At 38.7% G+C, this 25,017-nt stretch overlaps 1 protein-coding gene across 12 annotated transcripts in view, besides 1 other annotated feature; it reads left to right on the top strand.

The window, feature by feature from the left end:
• The window catches only part of GLIS3 (GLIS family zinc finger 3), a 666,339-nt gene that overhangs the window by 555,984 nt on the left and 85,338 nt on the right, over positions 1-25,017 (top strand). For all 12 annotated transcript variants that reach the window (XM_047422890.1, XM_011517763.3, NM_001438912.1 and 9 more), the window contains one exon: positions 2,012-2,122. In XM_047422890.1, coding sequence (XP_047278846.1) covers positions 2,012-2,122 — 111 coding nt within the window. The remainder of the gene's footprint in view (positions 1-2,011; positions 2,123-25,017) is intronic.
• Positions 5,988-7,187: an enhancer, noted in NCBI's record as "CDK7 strongly-dependent group 2 enhancer chr9:3927295-3928494 (GRCh37/hg19 assembly coordinates)". NCBI's record gives its function as "activates an origin of replication core promoter dependent on BRD2, BRD4, P300/CBP, MED14 and CDK7 cofactors, with strong dependence on CDK7, by STARR-seq in HCT116 cells {active_cell/tissue: HCT116}" and the evidence as "EXISTENCE:reporter gene assay evidence [ECO:0000049][PMID:35650434]".

Raw genomic sequence — 25,017 nt, 5'->3', positions numbered from 1 at the left:
GCCGAGATTGTGCCATTGCACTCCAGCCTGGACAACAGATTGCGACTCCATCTCAAAAAAAAAAAAAAAAATCAAATAGAAAATGACATTACCAACCTAAATTGTAGTGACCATGGTAATAATAATGGCATCAATTTATATAATTTGTTAATAGTCATCAAGCTTTTTGTACATGTAACATCTCCTCTAATGCTCAAAGCATAAGCTTTTACAATGGGATCGCCAGTAAAGATCTTAGCTAGTTGCACTCCTGAAACCAGGGCAGGGTAGGGAAGGCTAGTGCAAGAAGGCTATGCAAATTCAGAAAAGATTCCCAGGTTAAAGAAAATCTTTGCTTACTCGGTAGAAACTAACTGGCAAGTGACTTTAGCCAATAATAAACTCACTATTTTATAGAAACCATGAGGTATCGAGAACCTGGTTTATCCATTGTTCACTTTTAGATCCCTAGTCTGAAACACAGTGCCCAGCACATCCCGGAAGCATACTTTTGAGTGATTCAACCAACCAGTCAAACAGTCAGTCAATCAATGAACACAGCAGATAATCAAACATAGAATTCAAGTTTGGTATGTCAAATTAAATTATATGTTCATGATTTAATCTTGTTCTTGGAATCCAGTGACACAAAAAAAGGAGTGAACCATAAATATGGCTTCTAGCAGGTCAAATAATGTAATCCACTTATTTGTTTGCTCACAGAATGACATACATGCACATAAAAACAGAAGCAACATTAAAAAGGAATCAGATTAATCAGATTTTTTGTTTGTTTGTTTGTTTGTTTTTACTATAACAAGTTTCTAGAGCAAGAATCCCAAGACATGGTTTCAGGTCTCTTCCTTACATTTCACATCATACAAGCACAGCTCTATTACCTTACTTGATGAGACACTAAGCATATCAGCTACTATTAATATATGTTATAAACACAGTTAATCCTGTGATTTTTAAATTTTTCATTTCTTGAATAGGCTGAAGATTTTGATTTATCTCACAACTGAAGAGTCATAGCCTCAAACTTTTGATAAGTTTAAGGGTCATAACAGAAATAGGTGCTGAAATGTGAATGGATGTGAGCTGCTCTTAATTCATTCATTTCTATTATGTACTAAGCACGAAGGATACAAAAATTAAAAAGTGCTGGGCGTGGTGGCACACACCTTTAATCCCAGCTACTCAGGAAGCTGAGGCAGGGGAATCACTTGAACCCAGGAGGCAGAGGTTGCAGTGAGCCGAGATTGCGCCACTGCACTCCAGCCTGGGAGGCAAGAACAAAACAACATCTAAAAAAAAAAAAGAGGCTAGACTCAGCCTTAAGCACCACACCTCACATCTCCCAGGAGCATGGGGGAAATGGAATAGCCAAAATGTGTGTTCTGATTGCACTCAGCCAAGAGCTTATTCACTTAACTCAGGCTCAACACCAGGACACCTCTGCAACTAATATTATTAATGCTTCTTTGGAAGATTTTTCACGTGTCTGTTTGAAACCTACTGTCTCTTACTCACTTTACACTAATTTTCTCTTCTTAATTCTCTCCCTTTCTCTTTCTGAATCAGGTTTCTTCTGAAAAATACCCAGTTTTTTTCTGGACTTTCTACAGCTTCTTTACCTGAACCCTTAAAGAATATGTGTTTACTAGTTTCTGACAGTACCAAAGATTATTCTCAGGGAAACATAACTGTAAGTATGACTAGAGATGCTTACTAATAATTTCCACATTAAAAAATGCCCCAAGAGGTTTTGTGGTTAGAGCACACACTAAAGCAATCTCTTAGAAATCATCAAGGATAGGGCATCTCTTTGTTCCTTGAAAGTTTACCCTTCTCTTAACCATGATACAAAGTTACTAGACTTTGTAATTAAAATGCATGAGTATTAGCTAGCATTTCACATCAGTCAATTGGTAACAGTTCATGCTCTGAAGTCAATAGTCTTTGAGTAAAACATTCCCCAATTACCTTTATGATTTAACCACAGCTGTTTCTTTCTTTCTTTCTCATTTAGAAACCTTATGCTTGTCAAATTCCAGGATGTACCAAACGCTACACAGACCCAAGTTCCCTAAGAAAGCATGTGAAGGCACATTCTTCCAAAGAGCAACAAGCAAGGAAAAAGGTAATTTTAAAAGAGAATCTTCCAGTCGGGAAAAGCATGTTCAGATTATTCTTGTAGTACACGAAGCTTCTGCAGGGCACTTGAAATTCTTATACTTCTCATGGTATAACCTGCTTTAGACCGTTTGAGGAGGTAAGTCTCCCATGAAGTAATAGCAAGGCTATGGTTTGCATAGCTGATATGGCTATGGTTTGCATAGCTGATATGGCTATGGTTTGCATAGCTGCTATAGCTATGCAAATTTCTGGGAAAGGCTTGTATAATAGGAATCAGAGAAAAGTAAGGAAAGTCCCTCAAACTGGAAAGCAACAAAAAGCTTTTATAGAAGTTAAGTTCAGATAGCTAAAGATAATTAAATTGGGAAAAACAACACCACAGAAATCCTTCTGGAAAGAAATGCTTTTTCATAAAATATCAATTGGCCAATATCGTGAAGCTCTAATGAAGAAGGTAAGTACGTCTCTAGGACAAGTAGAGAGCATTCTTTAAGCTTAGAGAAAAAGCAGATTTCTGGATTTGTATGAAAATCTGAAAAAGGAATTGAACTTAAAACCACTTTGACATTAATGAGGGGTGAACGCATTTTCAAAGTTCATAAAAATCATAATATCTTAGATTTGGAAGAAATGTTAGAGACCAACCATCCTGTCCACCTGGCTTGCTCTCCTAACTCCATAAGATGTCTAGCAAGTGGTTGACTGCACTGTGCTTCAACCCCTCCAGAGACAGAGAGCTTACTACCTTTCAAGGCATTTCCTAGTAACTAAGTTTTTACATTTTTGGATCAGTGAGTATCTTCTATTCATGGCAGAAAACATGTTGAGCTGATCTTGGCTTTTTGAGTGTTTCATTGGTATTGAGATGGGTTCCTGATTCATTTGAGGGCCCTTTATAACAAATTTAAGGGCAGTTTGAGACTCAACGTATTTCAAGTGATTGAACCCCATGGCAAGGGTTTCAGGTCACCGTGGCTTCTACTTAGAAATCTTGCATTCTTTCATGGTTTATGGGGATTTAACACTTTTATGTTGGGAAATGCTCTATAGTCTTCTTGTTACTTGAGATTTTTTTTTTCTTCCTTGAGAAGTGTTAGCACAATGCCAGCCGAGGGTGTGTATATGGAAGGAATTTGACCCTTTCCCTGTGAGTTAGAAAAATGCTCAGTCAGGGGGATTTGATAGATAGTCTTAATTGCATACAAACCCACTCTTGTAAGTTAATTGTTAAAATCATTTTTTTCCTAGAAATGTAGTTAAATTTCTTTAATTGGAATCCCAGTAAATTGATATCTGTGATCATTAGACAGACACTAGATATGCTTTTGTGTTTCAGAAAAGCAAAGGAACTGCTAAGTTAATTAATAATGTAAATAAAGTTAGAAAGCAAGTGCTTAGTCTTCTTAAAATAACACACCCTTTTTGCATGCTATTAACTACTTTCAGCAGAACCACCGTCTATTATTTTTGTTATCATCTATATATACCTTATAAATTTGAAGTAATAAATGATAGTTGTAAAAAACAAACTTCTAGATGAGGGGGTTTTCTTCCCCCTAAATCTAATCATTTTTTGCCTCCAAGTTGTGCAAATGTGTAAGGTTTTATTGTAATAGTAAATCTATCATTAACATCGGAAAGTACCCTTGTAGAGATTAACAGTTGTCATGGACATGAAAGAGTATCGGTCCCCTATCTAGACAAATAAGCAACACTGTGATGTTCAAGTTAAGAAGGTAACCTAGGATGACAGATTTGGAAACATAACAGGGGATATTTTCAGGAATTATTAATGGTTTCTCCTGTTCAAATTTGTTGTGTTTCAACCTCTGTATAAAGAAAGAGTAGTTTTGATTGTGTGAAAGATTATTGAAGCACTAACTGAAAAAAGAAAACCATATCTTGAGACTGCAAAATATTATTTTATTGACAATTTGCAGACACCCTTTAACAAACAACCTAAATAAAGAAGAGTATACTTTCAAGGAGCAGTATTGTAATCTCATGTCAAATTGCAGTGTTCTCTTAATTTTGTCTTATGTAAATGGAGACACTGTCTCTCAAATGGCTTAGCTTTTGATGTTCACTGTTTTCTGCAAGTGGTTGAATTGGATTTCATTGACTTGTTGACTCGCATTGCACAGCCCTTAGTGATAAGTTTGCAGTGTTTACTTTCCGATTTTAGCCTGCCTTTTTATCCAAAGATTTTAAAAATTCTTTATGAATCCATGATGGATTAATTTGCGGAAGTTAAAATGATGCAAGTTGCTCCATCCAACAGAAAAAGGAAATGTCATTCCCGGAGAAGCAGTTGCTAATAAACCTGAAACTAGTCAATCCACATTTCCAAATCTTGTGCTGATATACCAGGGTGTAATATTTACATGGTACAATGTTGTTACTAGACCTTGGAGAGATTCTAATTGCTCACTCACATCAGGACTTGGTATTTGAAATATTTCCTGGCAGCAATTAAAAAAAAGAAACAATAAACCTTTTAAGGCAGAATTAAGATTATTTACGACTTTAATTAAAAATTGAAAACTGGCCTCATTTCAAAAAAGCCTTTACAAAAATGTGAATTAATCAAAAATAACCATAAAAATTCCAAGGTGATAAAGGCACAGTGGAGTAATGGTCCTAGTCCTAGGGAATTGTTTTGTTGAAAAGAATAAAACCCTTTTCTGTCACACCCTGTTAGTCATGGGCTTATTTAATATACCCTGCTTGCCTGCCTGCCTCTAATCCCCTTTGTAACCTCCCCCTAGACATTAAATGACATTATTTTGGTCTTAAGGTTGCCAGTTTTATGAGTCCTACTGTGGAATCGGGGCCAGTGACAAGGCACCCATAGCCATAGATAAATTCATGTGAGGAGGGGTCGGGATCTCATAAGTGATGCCCTGACCGTGGGCACGTGGCCCTTTCCCACACCTGTCGGATCCTACTGAAAACCAAGAAAAACCTGAAATCCCAGCTAAACATTATTCAAGCTGTGAAAAGAAAGAAAAAGAAGAAAAAAAAACTCTTCTGCAAAGGAATGGGGATAATTTGGTTCACTGCATGCAGAAGAGTAACTTTTCTCTTTGCATAATTCCTGCACACCCACACATCCCATCAGCCGATGTACAGACTTCTTTCATGGAATGTGCTTTGCAGATCTCGAGTCCATTAAATCAAGGGTTACACAGAAAAATGGGTAGCGAAATACTCAAGTCACCAACTGTGGTCTCCACAGAGAATAGAAGAAGTTCGCCTATAGAGCAAAGGGCAGAATCTGTCCTTCAATTCTGTCTGATAATGAGTAAGTGAAATAAGAGAAAACTAAGGCAATAAGCCACTTGAAATTTTCCTCAAGGCTATGAGCTTTATCAGAATTTTTCATTTTCACCTTGTAAGTGCCATAAGCAGGAGGGTTTCCTTTAATTCTAGACTGATATCGAAATGGACTTTTTAAAAGTGCATACAAAGGATGCCGGAAGTTAGAGGTGACATGAATCTTTCATCCATTTCACACTTCCACAAAGATTCAAACTTTATTTGTGATTTGTTAAATGTTTGTTAAACATTGACCTATGATCCACTGTGGCTGATGGCTTTCACTTTTGTGACCTCAAAACAGGCTGTTATAAACCAAGCATAGCATTTGAAATGGGCGCGAATGCAACACACATTTATATGTCCTACGTAGAGAACAGCTCTGTATTGCTTTCTGGCAAAATTAGGGCAGTCTATTTACTGTAATTCTTCATAGAGAACTGGTAACTTTTGGAAATCGGTTCAGAGCCACCACCACCTCTCCCCCACATATACTCAAAACCAGAAAATTTTCATTAAGTATCACATAAGCTTACCTTGCTTTGTACAGTTCTTTGAATCTTTAAGAGCTATGTGAAAATATGTATTTTCCTTTAAATTGAAGCATATATTAAGTGGACTAATAAGGCACACTTTTTCTGTCAGTTGCTTTCAGTCATGGTCTAGACGGCAGATGGTGTATGCACAAGTGGGGTGCATGATCAGGGCCACCCCAGATTTTGCAAACCCTTCTCATTTTTTTCCTTTCTTGTTTCTGCTCAGGAATAAATTAAAAATCAGTCATACTATTAATAGAATATTAGTAATAGGCACATATCACAGACATATCATCTCAAGATGAACTAGTCCACCTCTTCCTCTCACATTTTAGAAACTATATTAGAATGCACGTGACGGAGAGTGATGCTGTTACGGGGATGACATTGAAACGGCACTGATTTTTTAAAAGCGAGTCACAAACTTCTGTACTTTAATCATTGTTGATGATGCATTACTTACCTCACACCTCAAAATGATGGTGAGACATACCTGAATATCCTGATGCTCTCATTTGAAAAGTAACTTACTTCAATAAAGGCTCTGGGAGATGCTTTTGTAACACCAGTGTTTTTGGTTAGAAATTTTTATGCTAATTAATAATTAAACTCAAATGAAAAAATAAGCCATCTTAAATTTAACCCTGTGCCAATAGCAGTGATTTGGATTTGAAACCAGTTGCTTGGAGGCTTCCCTTTTAGGTAGACCCAATATGCTGCCAGCTATGCTTTCCAGAGCATTTTGATGCTACATAGTGATGGGAGCCATTTAAAAAGAGGTAAGAATCCATAATTTGCAGGATTTAGGAGAGGTTGTCAATGAAAGTGACCACTTAGTAAGAATAAGCTTCTCTTCCTTTCTTGAGTGATCAGAAAAGCTGTCTTTGGCCTTTCCGTAAATACAGAAAAATATCGAAAGATATCTACCACCATCTCTGGGGTAATGGTCCAGGATCTTATTTCGTGCTTAAAGCTGTTGCCCGAGGTGTGCGCTTTAGAATACGTTCCACAGAATGTTATTAGATATTTCTTTTAAAAAGTTTTTTTGGTCATATAAATTTAGGACACACTAAGTTAAGTACTACCCAAGGGTTTCTTTCTTGCAATAGTTCTCAGAGCCTTGGATATACCAGTATTCCAGAAGGAAGGTAACATTAGGCGTTGCTCAAAATTATTTGGCCAACTAAACCATCTTTGTTTTTCTCCAGAGATCTCAACAAACTACTCTTCTACTACATTGTTTGCAAAGTACAGTCTCAAGGAATATCATTTATTCTACTCAACAGATATTTATTGAGTACTTACTGCGTGTCAGGCACTAGGTTAGATCCAGAGATACAAATGTGTATAAGACAGACAAGTTCTGTGCCCTCATAGATTTACATTATCTTCATGAAAGTCCAACAACAGTAAAAAAAATAAACAGAAAATCAGCCACATAAATACAGATAAGGAAACAATAAGGGAACTGATACGGATGTTAACAGAGGGTGGCCTATTGAAGTGAGATGGGCAGGAAAGGCCTCTCTGAGGAGCTGATCATATTTGTAGTGGGAACACATTCAAATGACTAATTTAGAAATGAGGCCAGGCCCAATGGCTCACGCCTGTAATCCCAGCACTTTGGGAGGCCGAGGTGGGTGGATCACTTGAGGCCAGGAGCTCAAGACCAGCCTGGCCAACATGACGAATCCCCATTTCTACTAAAAATACAAAAAAATTAGCCAGGCATGGTGGCGTGCGCCTGTAATCCCAGCTACTTGGGAGGCTGAGGCAGGATAAATCCTTGAACGCGGGAGGCAGAGGTTGTGGTGAGCTGAACTGTAATCATGCCACTGCACTCCAGCCTGGGTGACAGAGTGAGAAGACAAAAGAAAGAAAGAAAAGAAGGAAGGAAGGAAGGAGAGAGAAAGAAAAGGAGGAAAGGAAGAAAGAAATGAAAAAATATAGATTGGCTGCAAATTTTTAAAAAGCATTGCAGGCCGCGTGCGGTGGCTCACGCCTGTAATCCCAGCACTTTGGGAGACCGAGACAGGCGGATCATGAGGTCAGGAGATCGAGACCATCCTGGCTAATATGGTGAAACCCCCGTCTCTACTAAAATACAAAAAATTAGCCAGGCGTGGTGGCTGGCGCCTTTAGTCCCAGCTACTCTGGAGGCTGAGGCAGGAGAATGGCATGACCCCAGGAGGTGGAGCTTGCAGTGAGCAGAGATTGCACCACTGCACTCTAGTGTGGGTGACAGAGCAAGACTCCGTCAAAGAAAAAAAAAAAAACAAAAGAAAAAGCATTGCTTTAGTCGCAATACTGTACCTTCCTGTATGAGCTTTTAAAAAAAGAACCTGATACTACTAAACTATAGCAATAGATGTTAGGATCATCTTAATTTGTTTTAATTGCACCTTTCTGCAGCCTGTCCTCCTTAACGGAGATGGCACTCAATTGAGGGACTGCATGCTAGACAGTGAAAAGCATAGCTTAGTGCTCCCATCTAAGAAAATGACCCAGATGGTTAGCATTTGTGATTCTCTGAGTACACTCTGCCCTCACTTAATGGCCTCAGTAGGTTCTTGGAAACTGCAACTCTAAGCAACATGATGTATAACAGAACCAATTTTACCAAAGGCTAATTGATAAAACGAGAATTAAGTTCCGAGGGCATATTTCTGGTCACAAAAACATCATCAAACTTCTAAATAAAGATCTCAAACACTTTTAACATTAAACATTGAAGTGAATGTGAGCTTATGTACTTTTAAGAAAGATAATTAAAAGCAAATACAAAAATTATTTTCCCAATTGTTTAAGTTCAAGGTTGAGGGTGGCTGGATCCTACCCCAACAGTTCAAGGCCTGGAGAGGATTCCGTCTCATCACAGTGATCGCGCGCACACACACACACACGCGCGCACACGCACACACACTGACCATGTAGACACACCCATTCACCTAATGGTAACATCTTTGGTACATGAGAGGAAACTAGAGTACCTGGAGAAAACCCATACAGACATGGGGAGAACACTTCACACAGACACCAGCTCTGGCCAGGAATCGATTTTTTTTCTCATCAGCATTATAAAGACACCACGTTATTCCAGGACCTGCTGTACTCAGTACAGGCGAGGCCCATGCCAGCTCTGAGGATTTAGAAGCAAGACCTGGCCCCACTCTCCTGAAGATTACATTCTAACAAGAGACACACCGGGAGATGCCAGCTTTCAGTATAGTGGGGGAAATGCTATGATAAAGTCACACAGAGAAAGCTTCTGGAACATGGAACTTGGGAGTTCCTTTGCAAATGATAGAGATTGTTAAGGAGTAGTCTTATATTTACTGTCTGAAAGCAATAAGGAGATCAGTATTATTCTTTATTACATTACAATATTTTGTCAAATGTAACAAAGTAGTTTTATTTCTATTCCCCCTGAAAATTGGTAATGGGGACCAAAAATGGGTTTTTGGGGCACAGTTCTGGCCAACTGTGTAAGGAATGACGACCCTCTGACAGGTGTTTTAATGAGCTATTCAGGCTGTACAGTGCCTAGCACAGCTACCTTATGGAAAGAGTTCCTAGATAATTGTTTTTCTGATTGACTGACTGACAGAAGCCTTCTAAGCTTCTTATTCCCTTTCTCTTATTAAATTTTGTGCATTCTTGATGAAAATCATTTTGGAATAAAAGTGTTTAGCTCAGGCTCTCTGCTACCTAAATATAGTGTCCTAAAATCTCATAACACAGCTCACTATTGCCCTTCTCAGGCACTCCCTCTCCATCCCCACCAAAGTATTCATGTCCTTTGTGCAATTACTGCTCCCTCTGGTAGTTCTCTCTTGTCTTTCCTTTTCAGCTTCAGTTGAGCTATGTCATTGATATCCATGGGCAGTATCTTCCCATTTGTTTGTATCTTGGCTCTCTGATCTGTGAAGATTTGTTTTCAGGGTGACTTCACACAAGGGCGTGGATAAGCCTAATACAAAAACTTTTCATGGTGGATACCAGGCAGGTGGCCATGTCTTAGAGTGGTGTTTGGATTGGACATCAGAAGGTATGGGCTTCTTTTAAGCACTGCCATGAATTGCTTCAGGACTTAGCTTAAGTTACATTCCCCTGGTTTTTCCATTTTCCCTTCTTGGCAACTAGCTTGAAAGGCAAACATGGGGCCCCAGAAGTGAAAGGGGAGCTAGTTCAGTAGAAAGCATTGTTATGCCACATACCTGCAATCCATAGCAGTCTACTGTGCCTGACAACAGACCAGTAATATCCTTGGAAATATTTTCCTTCCTAAGAACTGAATATTCTTTCAGTGATTACTAGAGCCAGTCTTTCTGGGTCATACAGATACTCAGACAATAGCACAACAGAAGATCCAGACAAAGGAAAGCAAGCTGGAATCGAAGCTAGAGGGAATTTAAATCAAATTTGAACCTGTGAAATCTAATTATATTCAGGGGTTATTGACTTGGGGCTCATAGACCATGGGCAAAGGCCCATGGATGGCTGTGTTTTAGGAAGCTCATGAACTCCCAGAAATTATATGCAAAATGTATTTTTCTGGGGAGAGGCTCCATAGATTTTTACTGACCTCAAGTGATCCACCTGCCTTGGCCTCCCAAAGTGGTGGGATTACAGGCTATTCTTTTAACTATAATAGAAAAGCATGGCTTTTAGGATGGTTGCTTGTCACACTGCCACTACATGAGGTCTAGGCTATAGCCCATCAGCATTATATGCATCCTTAAATGTCACCTCATCCATCCTGCAGCCTAGTATGGGAGACACATTTAGGAAGTCCCAAAAGATACTCATAAAGCTTCTTCATGTAATCTTAAACTTTCTGACTTTTATGATAGTCTTTTTGGGTATTCCTGTTATTTAGCAACCCTAATATATTCAAACATCCTTGTACTATAGAGAAAAAAAAAACACCTTTCTGAAACACTTGCACATGGGCTCTACTGTCTTCCAAATGTGCTGCTGCTTTTCCATGGTGACCTTGCTGATGTCTGTGAAATTCTCCTTTAATATCTCTAGTTTCCCACAATTTTTTCTTATTACCCGGATTCCAGATTTTTTGGCGTATGGACTATATTCGTCTCTATGCTCTATATTTCATTCATGGTGTAGAGTACAGTGTCAGCAAGGGTCACAGTGAGGCTTGCAGTGTCATTTATTGGCTATTGAGATAGGCATTGAGGTAAAAAGGTCGACAAAGGAACCAGTGCTAAAGGGCCTTATGTGCCCTGCTAAGGTGTTAAACATATACAGTGGTCAGATCTGTGATTTAGAGAGATAATTATAGTGGTAATGTGGGAAACGAATTAGGTATTTACAGTGAAAGGAGACAAGGCAATTAGTTTGGTTGGCATATTTCCATTAATCAACAGTCTTTAGATAAGTGGCTTATCCAACTATGACTACACCCAGCCATGCTATCATCAGTTCTAGGTTTCTCAGTCTTTTCCAAAATGCTATCATGAGAGACTTGGCTAATTATCTTGGAATTCTAGGAGTGGCTTTCCACTAATGGTATCTAAAAAGGAAATGAGGATTCTCTGGTTGTTCCCAATGACCCCATCCTAACTCCAACTGACTTCCTTCCTTCTTTACTGCTTGGCAACCCATTATTCTTCGTAGAATCTTTCCAACCATAAAGTTGAAGCTTTCTGGTCATTAGATACATTTCTAGGCTCTTTTTTACCTTACTGAAATTTGAGATATGCATCTCTTTCTCCATTTTTTTGGCTTTCTCTCTTTATATTTTTTCAAAGCATACTTTTATAATCACCTTTACAAGTGTTTTTGGTAGCAGAGTTTGTGAACACTTAGAACCTTGAATTCCCTGACTAGCTAGATGAGGTCTCTTGTTAACTTCTCTCCTATCCTTCCCCACCTTACCCCCAGCAATTATTTTTCCGCATTTCCCCTTCACCACTCCCTCCTGTAGAAAAAATATAAATAAGCCAGGTAGTAGCAGTGTTGTTATATCATGTTCAGAGTCCATTCTTCTTTTTAAAATTACATAAGCGATGCCTATCTGTGTAAAAAGAAAATGAGGACATATGCAAACTTTCATTGAAACCAAGACACCATTGATTGTAAGTCTTGTCTTGATTTCAGAGATGTTAGCATATATTTTACAATCAATGAATCACAGTGGCTTAACTTTGGTGCCTATCTTTCTATATATTTTTTCCTGTCATATGCAATCATATTATGGGTCCCTCTGTTTTGATTCTTCTAAGTGGTATATAGTGAATATATTGCCTTGACAGTAACTATATTTTTAATGACTGCATTTTAAAAGATACACTGCATTTCACTTAACCAACTTTCTATTTTCAGACAATTAGATGATTTTAAAGATTGTACTATCATGAACAATTCTATAGCGCATATGCTAGTATATAGATCTTAGTACATATCCTAAAGTGCTTCAAATAAATTCCTTACAACATATTGCCAAAATGACTTCCCCAAAATTTGTAACAGTTTGTTTGAATTTCTGTTAGGACTATATAAAACCAACTTTTTTCTTACACTTTACCAATGTGAAGTGTGAGTGTGTGTGTGTGTGTGTGTGTGTACACAGTATGATGGATGAATAATAGATGAACTATTGATATACAGTTCTTAGATTGCTGGTAGATTTGATTATTCAAAATTTATTAACCATTTATATTTCAATTTTATATTATCTGTTGTCTTTTCTTATTTTATGGATAATTTTTATATTGATTTGAAGTAACTATATATAACAGATATTAACTAGTTAATTGTCATAAATATTGCATATATTTTAGTAGTTTGCCATTTGTGAAACTTGATTTGCTGTGTGGATTTTTTAATCATAGAAAATTTACTATAGATATATTTTTACATATTTTTAGATTTTTCTCCCCCATCTAAAGGTTTCTGTTTTGATGTCACTTTTACAAAGGCCAACTCATTATTCCACTATTTTGTTTAAACTCCAGCTTTCTCCCATTTTAGTGAAACTACTCTTCTGATGGTGGTAGTTCTTGTTTTTTGTAAAGGACAAGTAAGGCTTTGGAACTGTGCCTGACTGAGTTTGAATCTTAGCTCTGACTCTGGGAGAAATTACTTAGCTTCTCTGAGCTTCCGGTTCCCATGCTAAAACAACCTACCTCCACAGGGCGATTGTGTGATTCAAGTGAGACCATGCCTGTGAATGGACTTAGTGAAAAATCCAAACTGCAGAATGTAGGAGGTGCTCAGAACATAATTTTTTCTTTTCTCCTGGACACAACTTAGTTAAATGAGAAGGGCACTTTCTTGTGGGTGATCTGAATACAATTTCAACTGTCCTCATTTCGAGATACACATCGCAGGCAGCTGTTGTACTACACACCTTATCTTGAAGGAATAATGCATGACACCACTGTGCATAATCAAAACTTGAGCTCCAATTTGCTTTCAGATTCAGTGACAACCATACTGCGAAGTCCCGTAGGGTTGTGATGCAAGATCTTTAAGTTTGGTGGTAAAAAGGATAAATTACTGTAATGAGAAGTTTTCCTCATTTCAAATCTCTAAGGACATCACTGAGCTTTGAAAAAGGAGACTCAAAAGGAAAAATATAGGTAGAGAGCTGGCAAGGCACGAAGACAAGAAGCTCTGTTTCACAATACTGCTTTGGGCTAGTCTAGCACACAAGCACCAGCTAGGCTATAGGAATTTAGATAATGTTTACCCATCGTAGACTTTGAATAGAAACTGTATTTTGAGATAATAGTGCAAAGGACATCCTTGACATTTCATTTCCTCATGTGTACATAAGCAAATATAGAAATCGGATTTCATTTCTGTGTACTCAAAATAGCAACCAAGGATCCAAAGATGATCCCCCACCTCTTCTTTAAAAAAAAAAAAAAAAAAACCTGTTCTTTTATATTCAAAAATATGTCAAGAGTAAGTTCCTGAATTTCTGAGTCACAAAGACTCAGACACATAGGGAGCCCTAAATCATAGCATAAATGAACTGAGGAACCTAATGCTTCATAATATTTTCCCCATCTCCCGTCTCTATCCTCATTAATATTTCCCTTCCCCATAGAATATTAAGCATGAAATTGATTAGACACTTTAACATAGCAAAAACACTCACAAACTCAGTACCACTTTTATCTCTTCAACCATCACCAAAAGCAAGAAAGGGTGATTTGATATTTAAAACAGTCAGTAATGGCCGGGCACAGTGGCTCATGCCTGTAATCCCAGCATTTTGGGAGGCCGAGGCGGGTGGATCACGAGGTCAGGAGATTGAGACCATCCTGGCTAACACGGAGAAACCCCGTCTCTACTAAAAATACAAAAAATTAGCCGGGTGTGGTGGCGGGCGCCTGTAGTCCCAGCTACTCAGGAGGCTGAGGCGGGAGAATGGTGTGAACCCAGGAGGCGGAGCTTGCAGTGAGCCGAGACCGTGCCACTGCACTCCAGCCTGGGCAACAGAGTGAGACTCTGTCTCAAAAAAAAAAAAAAAAAAAAACTGTAATAGCATAATGGATGCCATTAGCTATTTTTATTCTCCTTAGTTATGAAATAACAGTTTAAAAGAAATGGGAGGGCCAACAATAATAATCACCAAATACCCGTTTGCTGGGTATTTTCATGGGTGTTTACTTTTTCAGTCTTCAAAACAATTCTACGAGGCTAGTATTACAATTAATATTGTGGCCTTCTATTAGAGATGGTAGAGCCTCCATGCTTTGAAGTATCTTTTCCAAAATTCTTCAAGCCCCTTTCTTGGTAACTGAGCCAATAGTACCATCCAGTTGGGGTATCCTGATCCCATTTCATTTCATTTTATTATTTTTTTTTATTTTTAATTTTTTTTTTTTATTTTTTAACTTCTACTTTAAGTTCAGGGGTACATGTGCAGGTTTGTTATATAGGTAAACTTGTGTCATGAGGGTTTGTTGTACAGATTATTTTGTTGCCCGGGTATTAAGCATACTACCTATTAGTTATTTTTTCTGATTCTCCTCCTCCCATCTTCCACCCTCCCAACAGGCCCCAGTGTGTGTTGTTCCCCTATATGTCTCCATGTGTTCTCATGTTCTCACTTATAAGTGGGAGCTAAATGATGAGAACACATTTCATTTTAGAGATGAAAGACCTCAGGTTCAGAGACGTTAAATGACTAACAAAGCACATTCAGTAAGCAGTAGAACTGTACTCAAGCTGCATTTTTCTAACTCAACATGCAGTGCTCTTTTGGCTTTACCATTCTGACTATGGCGGTCTGATTTCCCAACACTGAAAATTTTATAACTTATCAACAAGTTCTTGGCATGAATTCTATAGTGGCCTCTGTTAGAGATGGTGGTAGATTTTCCCCATGCTTTGGAGTACCTAATTGAAAATTGTGTAAGCTCTCCTCTTGGTGGCTAGGTCAGCAGTACCATCCAGTTGGGGCAATCTGATCCTACACTGAGACCCACATGGTCACTGTCCCCCATTCCATCCTTCAGGGCACTTTCCCACCCTCTTCCATATATGTAGGGTCAACTAAGTACCCCAAGGAGCTCTAGAACTCACACCTATGGGATCTTCCCGGGGTCTTATAAGCAGATCCTAATTCCAAAAGGTTGGTTGGTGAACATTGGTCATTGTGGCATTTCTTTAGCTGAATTGGTTGAAATTGGACCTCTACAGTGGTTCTGGCATTCTGATTGAGGGTGACTCAAATTGATTATATAGACAAGAACCCCACAGTTTTTGTTTTTTTGTGTTTTGTTTTCAATGCCATGTGTATCCTAGGGATGGCCCTGTAGAGGGCAAGAATTACAAAGAGTCTGAGATTTTACCCTAGGTTACACACTAGCAAGTTAGCCTGCCACAGTTTCATGGATACTGGCAGGAGACATGAGACTCCTGGGTCAGAGTCTCAAAGGACAGTGTATTATTTATAGTAATAGTGATAGCCAGAGTATCATCATTTTCTTATGCCAGTTGTTTAAGTCCTAGTTCCCATAAGGTACCATGAAGACGGCCAGGCACTAGGTTGTATTACAAGAGGGAAATTCTGAGCTTAGGGAACTTGAATCTTTTATAATAGACATAAGCATGCTTGCCTTTTGATCAGGAGGGAGACACTGTCATGGTTTTTCAAAGCATCTTTGAAAAGATAGTTCAGAAAGATTGCCAGTCTCCCTCCCTGCTCACAAGACACATCATAGAGAATTGCCTCTCAAGGTGGAGTTCTTGTTGGTCCTTCTTAATTGCAAATGTGCAAGGACAGCCAAACACTAATCCCAGCCTGCCCTCAAATGACCCTAAATATTCAGGATAGTCCTGAAATAAAAGTAGTTTCCAAAAGAAAAGACTGAAACCAGGAAAGAGGGAACATGGATATTTGAAAGACATGACTCTATCTTGCCAGTCTGCATTTAGCCCTAAACATTTTCATCCACATTTGTTTGAGAGTCTACAGTCCTGCCCATGAGTGCCATCAGTTATCTCATGATTTGATAGACGTTCCTTACCACCCCCACCTGAAATTATTCTTAGCACTAGCCTTCTAGAAAGCATAAAATTGCCGCCAATACAATCATTCTTTTCAGTTATAGGATTATCTCCAGAAGATCCCTATTAGTTATTTTTTCATTGTATAGCAAAGGCAGTGCAACACTTCACTCCCATTATATGTCAATGTGGGTTCAATTACCAATTTTCAAGGAGCAACTATGTCCGTTTTCTGTGGCTACTATACAGGAACGGTGGTTTCAATAGGAATATGGGGTTGAAAGAAGTCAGAAATAGAGTATACTTGGACCTGGGTGAGGTCGTTTCAGTGGGGCCCTGGGGAATAAAGGAATAACTTGAAACCAATAGATGACAAGGCAGAGAAAAACTTGGAAGTAGAGAGCATTGAAAAAAAAAAAATAATGGATGGAGTAGTGTTTTAGAAGTCACTTCACAATTTATACTGGAGCTCATCCTGCTATTGGGCTTTAAGAATAGAAGTTAAAAAGGAGTTTTATTATGTTCCATCTCATCAGTTTTCCTTGGCTTTTTAAAGGAATGTAGGCAGTATATTCTAAAATGAATTTCAATGGAGGGTTTTTAGAGGAACAATTCAAATGGAGTTGTGTTTGCTCACTTGTCAATGTCACCCTTTCTTCTGGGTGCCTAACTTGGCCTCAGCTGAGTGCACTGTTCATGCAAACATCTTCAGCTCTGACAGCACATGCTGTCGTGGTATTGCCCCTTTGGCCACACTCCTATGACATGCTGGTACCAGGAACACCAGCAACTTGGGTACAAAGCAATGATATTTACATTGTTATGGTTAAGTTAACTTTGTGGTAGTGAAAACCTCAGTTTTTCATTTCCTGGCTAGTATTTCCAATTTGGAATTGCAACACTGCATTTACGTGCATTTTTGCCTTTTAAATGTTCTGTGGTATTGCAACATTTGAGAAATTCCCAGGGACCCTTAATCTTCCTACAAACACTGGTTTGTAAGCTAAGGACCAACTCACTATCTCAGAGTTACCTCTTTGTGCCCTTGCTGAATAATTCTGATTTTGCATTGTACATCTTTAGACTCCCTGTGCTGTCTTTTAGTTCAAGTTTCCCTCTTGAATATACTAATAAAAGGACAAAGAAAAAGGATTTTTAAAAATTTGTACCTGCTTTTTCAAGAGCAATTGAACTTAAAGCTACTTTTCCTATTGTTTTCCATGAAGTCTCATTTAAAATATTTTATTAATGCAAAGAGATGTGCATTCAGGGCTAAGGACCAGTGAACAGTAGCCATGGCAACCAGGAAGCCATTCAGGAGGAGAAAAAAAAATGCAGTAAAGAGTAAGTGTTTTAATCCTTAACTTTAATCCTTTTACTTCCTGTTCTCAAAATGAAATATAAATCAGGCACCATGCAGCGCTGCAATTTTTCTCTGAAAGGGATGTTGGCAAAAGAGGATTAGTAATGGACAGACGTGTTTAAGGAATTTAATCACACAATTTGTTGTAAAACTTTTGAGACCACGAGTGACCAGTTCCTTTGAGTGGCGTCAATGAGAACCAACAAAACATACTTTGAACCTGATTAGAGAGTTGGCGCAGGGGGACACCCCGGTTTGCTGTTATTGTTACATCATTTCAGGCTGTGGTAATGACATGAGAAATCAAGGAATTTGCTTGGTCCCCCAGTGGGGAGGTAGAAGACTTGGGGTGTCTCCTTGGTAGAATAGAGATATTCTTTTGATCTTCGTGATGCTAGGGAAAAATTAAGTCGCCCGTATTTCACATACTACCTTTCCTTGATGTTCGATTACTATGGGAGTTTCACAAAGGCATGTGCTTTCTATTGTCAACAGACTCTTGGGTTTCTGCTAAAAAGCACAGGCTTTAGTTTCTATGGACAGTAAAACAGCATTCTCAGAAGGATTGATTATTATTCCTTAATGTTTCTACTCTTTGTTTCTAAGATTTTCTTCTACATGGACTAGAAGACTTGTTCTACTTGTTAATTTCTGATTTTTTAAAAAATCTGATTTTCTTTCTTTTAAGTCAGATAAAAAATATGGCCCCCACACTGACTTGTCTTCCCTAGTTCTTTGGAGGATGGTTGGGGAAGAAAGAGAGATATGCCTTTTTATGGCATTTTTCCTTCCCTCAGCATATATATGCGAGAGTATTTCTTTGATAAATTTATTTCTAGTGAACTAAAAATTACCAGCATACATGACTCTTTGCAGAGATCTGAGGTACCTACAACTTGTACTAGCTTCCTGCCATGTCAGAATGTGAAATTACTTCCAGTAATAGCATCTTTCCAGGGGGCTGCTGATAATTATGACAGACAGGCAACATCATGAAGGCTGGAGCATTTGCAAATGGAGTTAGACACAGCAGACCGCTGAGCCTGGAGTTTCTTGTAGACCTTGAGAACAAAAGTATACAAGCTAAAACCTGCAGATAACAGGGCATCTGGAAAAGAAAAATATTATCCAGTCCTCTAACTTAGAGGACAACATGCAAGGCTGATAATACCTGTTCCTGATGCCTCCTCTTGACCCGGTCTTGTTTCTCCCCATTCTGTCAGAACCACCAAGACTAATGCAATCCTGGACAGTGCTTGTGAGATGGAATCTGTATACCGTGAGCAGCCACTGACAGTCCTCATCATTCTTGCAACACTTTCCTTAGATTTTTGACTTTCTAGTCTGAACTTCTGGGATGGAATTTTGTTTTTTTGAGAGGGGATTGGGATAATTGGAGGGGGTGGATGATAAGAAGAAAGACAGAATGGTGTCAGTACCTAAAGGAGGAATGGTAGATGATAAACATGAAGATGACTTTGGCAGAGTCTATACAGGCTATAGGAAGGCTCTAGGAGAGTCTAGTCCCTGTCTTGGGCTTCACCCTGAGGCACTTCTCCAAGCCAGGCCTCCTTTCTGATGACCAAGGAGAGGAGCTTTATTTCACCAAAGCATCAAAAGGTCATGTGATTCATGCATTGCTCTAAGACATGCATTGCTCTAAGACATACAGTGCTCAGACAAGAAGAGGGAAATTACTGACAGTAATTCTGTGCATTGACGAAAATAACACCACGGGCAAGCTCTTTACTTTGGTGGCATCACATCAGGGGAAGAAGACTTTGGGGCAGTGCTAAAGACTGGATGTGGAGCAGGGCCAGTGCGATCAGGTTTACCAGCTGGTCACTTACTCAATCCGTGGTCAGAAGATGAAGGTTCTCATCTTGGCTGTGTAGTCTGTCAAACAGGGGGCTGGAATGTATAATTTGGGACCTAATCAGCTTGAAATTTCTGTTTTCTACTTACCAAATTTACACTTGACATTGACTCTTTAGAAGCAAGGTGGAAAATTGGATTTGTTCCCAGCCCTTCCAGATGAATGAGAGATATGAAGTATAATGTAGTGAATTAGCATTTCCTATTGGAAGGATTGCTCATTTACATATCCCAAGAGGCAACATATAAATGTGAATAGTGTTATCTAGTGAAATTTGGCATGAATGTGGGTTGAATATTATAAAGAAATAAACTTTGGCTGGGCGCAGAGGCTCATGCCTATAATCCCAGCAATTTGGGAGGCCGAGGCCAGAGGATCACTTGAGCCCAGGAGTTCAAGAGCAGCCTCAGCAACATAGTGAGATCTTGCCTCTGCAAAAAAAAAAAAAAAATCCAAAAATCTGAAAAAACTTAGCCAGATTTGGTGGTGTACAGCTGTAGTCCCAGCTACTCAGGAGGCTGAGATGGGAGGATAGCTTGAGCCCAGGAATTCAAGGATACAGTGAGCTATGATCACGCCATTGCACTCCAGCCTGGGTGACAAAGCAAACACACTATCTCTAAAAAAAGAGAAAGAAAGAAAGAAACTACCCAAGTGTCTTTTTAAAAAAAATTTCGGTTCAATTTCACTTGGCTATTTACCATTTTATTCTTAATTGATAATTTAGGCATACTTAAACTGCCCCATTCTTTTCTTCCCCTGATGTTGCATGTGACGTGATTTCATTTGTCTTTGGGGCCTACCCCAAAGGTTAAGCATGGATTAATAAATACTCAGCAGCCATTGGCTCATTTGTCATTCATTCATTTACTTGTTCACACATTCCCTAAACATTTATAGAGTACCTTTCATGTGAAAAGAAGGACTGTTTTAGGTTGCATGATCAAACACTCAAGGGTTGTTTATAAAGCCCTTTTTGTCTTTTATGATGTGCACACATATTGATATAATTTCTAAATAGCTATTACAAAATGTAGAAAATCACGAGTGCTAACAGCAAGATGAAGAGAAATTGCTTTTCAATATGAAAAAGAATAAAATTACTTTGGAATGGAAAGGCTGGGAAAACTTCAAGGGACAAGTGACATTGAATTGGACCTTGGAGAATATGCAGAATTTATTGTAGATACGTAGAGTCCAGAGAAAAGGGGACTCCAGATGAGGGAGGTTTGTGGCCAGAAGTACAGCATGAGACATGAATGAGAATAAACAAAGATTACAGGAATGTCTTGGCTCTGTGTGACCTCCATCATGGGACATGAAGCCACACGAAGCTAGGTGAGAGCCAGCATGTTAAAGCCCATGAATTTGAGCTGTAGGTAATGTTTAGGGGAGAGTCACTAAAGGGCTTTGAACGAGGAGAAAAACTATACTGACTGTTGAGTATAGAATGGATGGGAGAGCAAAAAGCAAGTGCTCTCCATTGAAACGACAGTCTTCAACTTTTAGAAGTAGGTATTTTTAAAATTGTCCAAATACTCCTGCACATGAAAATCAGCCTTAAATCTTCTTCACTCAATCTGTTTTAATTAAATGAAAGGCAGAAGAAAATGAGATCCACTGACTTTTACAGTGAGTCCCTCCCCACACTTCCTAAGCTGTAACATAGGCAGGGGCTGTAGCGAGAAACCAATTCAAGGGAAGACAATACGGAGCTGGTAAGATGGATGGGGGAAGTAATTACTAGATAGCTGGCTGCTTTAATTAAACCCTGAGAATACTTGAATAGAAAGAAAAATGCTACACTTGAATGGATGGGATGGAATGTGTGTGGTCACATTAGTGCAATGAACCAGTGTCAGAGGAATTTATGAAGCTGTGATAAAAGTAAACCCTTCATCTTGCTTTGAGTCTTCACAACTCCATAACCAGGCCCCAAAGGGTGAAGGGGGATGTTTTTCATGGCAAAGTGAAATTCCGTATTAACATTTCTCTGTTTTTCTAAAAAAAGAAGAATGCATTCTTCAGTTTAGTCTTCTGCTTTTAAGACGTACCTCTGAATGAAGCTTGAATTCACCTTTGAGTGTGTCATTTGTGTATCATTTTCTAGCTAGAAAAAAATGTAAGATTCTCAATGTCAGTTTTAGAAAAATATTGACTTAGGAAGAAAATTATGTTTTTACAAATGTAACAATACAAAAATTACAAGTTGCATGCCTTTCTGATTTCAACATCCTTTTGAACCTCAGCTCCCCAACTCTGTCCAGCATAGCTAGATAGTGGGACAGATTTTGGTAAAAGGACATCTAAATGAAGTATTAACATTCCCGGAGTGTTCTAAAAAGTTTTGTTGTGGGTTCTGGTTTCTAATATGTTTTAGTCTCTTCCAAGAGGGTGAACACTGGCTACATTCTCCTGAGATAGAATAATTCCAGGGCGCTATGCATCCTGGAAAACTGTGCTCATATCTTGATTAGGAGACTGCCCCGGGACGCTAGTTCTGAGGCTAATAAGCAAGAGCCCAGTGAGTTACTAAGAAAGGTCTCACTCTTAACGTACGCAATAGCCTCTTCTTGAGTAAAAAAGAAAATTAATTTTATGCAACAAGAGCCATTGTCCTTAGGTCACCTCATGTAATTCTGTTACAAGCCTACGGAGTTAATGTTATCACTCCATTTTACAGAGGAAGGTTCTGAAGTCTTGAGAGGTTATCTTACCAAAGGCCACATAGCAGTAGGGGCAGAGCTGAGATATGAACCTGTATCTATTTGACCCCGAAGTCTCCATCCTTTTCCTCTTGCCATGTCGCCACACTATGGTACACAAAAGGAAAAAGTTGATAAAGAGAAAATATATCCCAAAAAGTGGGTTGGAGAAAAAGGAAAACAGGAGTGCATGTTACGGAGTGATAACAGTGCTTCTACACTGAATGTTAATAAAAATAATAATAGAAATGGCAGCATGTGTTTAACATTGATTATATATCAGGTATTGGTGAAATGCTTTCTTATCTCATGTTATCCCTAACAACAGCCTTATAAATTAGGTGCCATTATTATCCACATCTTACAAAGAAAACTAAGGTAAAGAAATGTTAAACAACTTTCTCACAGTTGTCTAATATTTCATCAGTAAGGATACAAAAATTCAACTCCACGTAGTCTGGGTCTTATATTTTATGATCCATATTGTGGATAGGCTATTATAAGTGGTTACTAATGTTGTAGTGTAATTCATAGGGTAGAGACAATTTTTTTAGATAACTTAGTTTGGGGCAGACATTTACCATCATCCTTAATGCCAGATGATGTTTTAATCAAGTTTTCACAAGGCACTGAAGAAGGGTACATGGTAGCCAGCCGAGTGCTTGAGTTGAATGTAGCCAAGAAGAGGTTCTGTACCACTCAACAGCAATGCAGCTTTAGAAAGGTAGCCTCCCAGGATAAAGAGCCATCAGAAACAAAGAGCGTAACATATGGAAAAAGATCTAAGGATTTTACTTGATGATGATTTTTATTCATGCCACACTGTAAACTCTGTGAGAGCAGGGAACTTCAATTGTCTTATGTACTACTTTATCTCCTGGGCCTAGCGTAGTTTGGGGTACATGGTACAGAATCAAGAAATAGTGCGGAAGGAAGGGAGGAAGGAAGAAAGGAAAGGAAGGAAGGAAGGAAGGAAGAAAGGAAGGAAGATGGATTTTAAAAAGCTATTAACTATTTAGGTTGTATGAGTAGAGACAGAAAGTCTAGAATAAGGGATATGTTTGTTCTGTTGTATTTATTCTGTCCTGGTCAGACAGCTGGTTAACTCTGTTAATATTTGGATGTCATTTACATGTAGGCCATTGAGCTTCTGTATTGAGAGTAATTAAGGTGCTGAATGGAATAACATGTTATATGAGAGAGCAGGGACTGATGTTTTAGTAAGTGACTTCTGTGTGTCAAGCAGTGTTAGATGCTTTCTCTGTCTTATCTGATTTAGTTCTCAAAGTAGCCAAGATCACTAAATGGTATTATCCTTATTTTACAGAAAGGAAACTCTACTCAGGAAAGTGAATATACTTGCCCAGTATCACATGGTAGTTGAACTAAAAGCCTCAAGCTCTTTCCACCTAAGTGTCCTCTTACCTGTATAAAAAACTTGGCCTGCCTCTGTAATCTCAGCACCTTGGGAAGCCAAAGTGGGAAGATTGCTTGAGTCCAGGAATTTGAGACTAGCCTGAGCAACATGGTGAGACCCTGTCTCTGAAAAAATTATTGAAAATTAGCTGGATGTGGTGGCCCATGCCTGTGGTCTCAGCTACTTAGGAGGCTGAAGCAAGAGGATTGCTCAAACCCAGGAAATTGAGGCTGCAGTGAGTCATGTTTGTGCCACAGCACTCCATCCTGGGTGACAGAACAAGACTGTCTCAAAATAAATAAATAAATAAATAACAAAACAAAATTTTTTCAGCCTAGAGAAAAACCCACTAAGAGGGGAGGTTCAACAAAGAAGCTAAACCATGCCCCTTCCATGGCTGAAATTCTATGATACTACAGCATTTTGAAGCTTCTCAAATACTAAAAAACAGTAAGAGACTGTGAGCAGTTATTCTGTGTGGTCTAGGAGAGGAGGTGAGGAGTAAACCACAGGGGGGTGGATCTGTAGTTGGCAGATTATAGTTCAACTTGAAGCAAAACTTTTTAAATGATGAGCTCTGAAGCACTCTTTCTAAATGGAGGGTGCTTAATGGTAAGGAAGGATGTTCCCTGTCATCAAAAGGATTTAGACAAAGGCTGGACTGCTACCATGGTATGCAGTAGTGCTGTGCACTTCATTACTATAAGTTTAAATTTAATTAAAATTAAATAAAATTAAAAGTTCCTCAGTTGCATTAGCCACACTTCAAATGCTCATTAGTCACACATGGCTAGTGGCTATCAATTAGTGCAGTGCAGAACCTTTCCATCGTCACAGAAATTTCAACTGGATAGTGTTGCTACAGAGTTGACAGGAAAGGCTTTTGGACCCTAGTTCCTTTTTGCTCTGAAATTCTATGTTTCTTTGAACAATTTCCATAAATCATCATTTCTTACTAAATAATCATTAGTTTTGTTGTGTCCATACTGACACTGATTTTTCATGATCTTATTGAGCTATACCCCAGCATGTGTACCCATTCACGTATTTTGGAGTGCTCATTAATCAGCTATGGATACAATTTTGGGCCTTTGGAGTCACTGCTAACTAAATAGGTATCCCCTATACAGATGTTCAGAACACCCAACTGGACACTTCTGTTCCCAAAGAGATTCCTTCCAATGCCGTTTCTCTAA

The sequence above is a fragment of the Homo sapiens genome, chromosome 9 (genome assembly GCF_000001405.40).
Source record: "Homo sapiens chromosome 9, GRCh38.p14 Primary Assembly".
Taxonomy (NCBI): Eukaryota; Metazoa; Chordata; class Mammalia; order Primates; family Hominidae; genus Homo; species Homo sapiens.
Note: the sequence above shows the minus strand (reverse complement) of the source record. Positions and strands in the feature narration are given on the sequence as shown.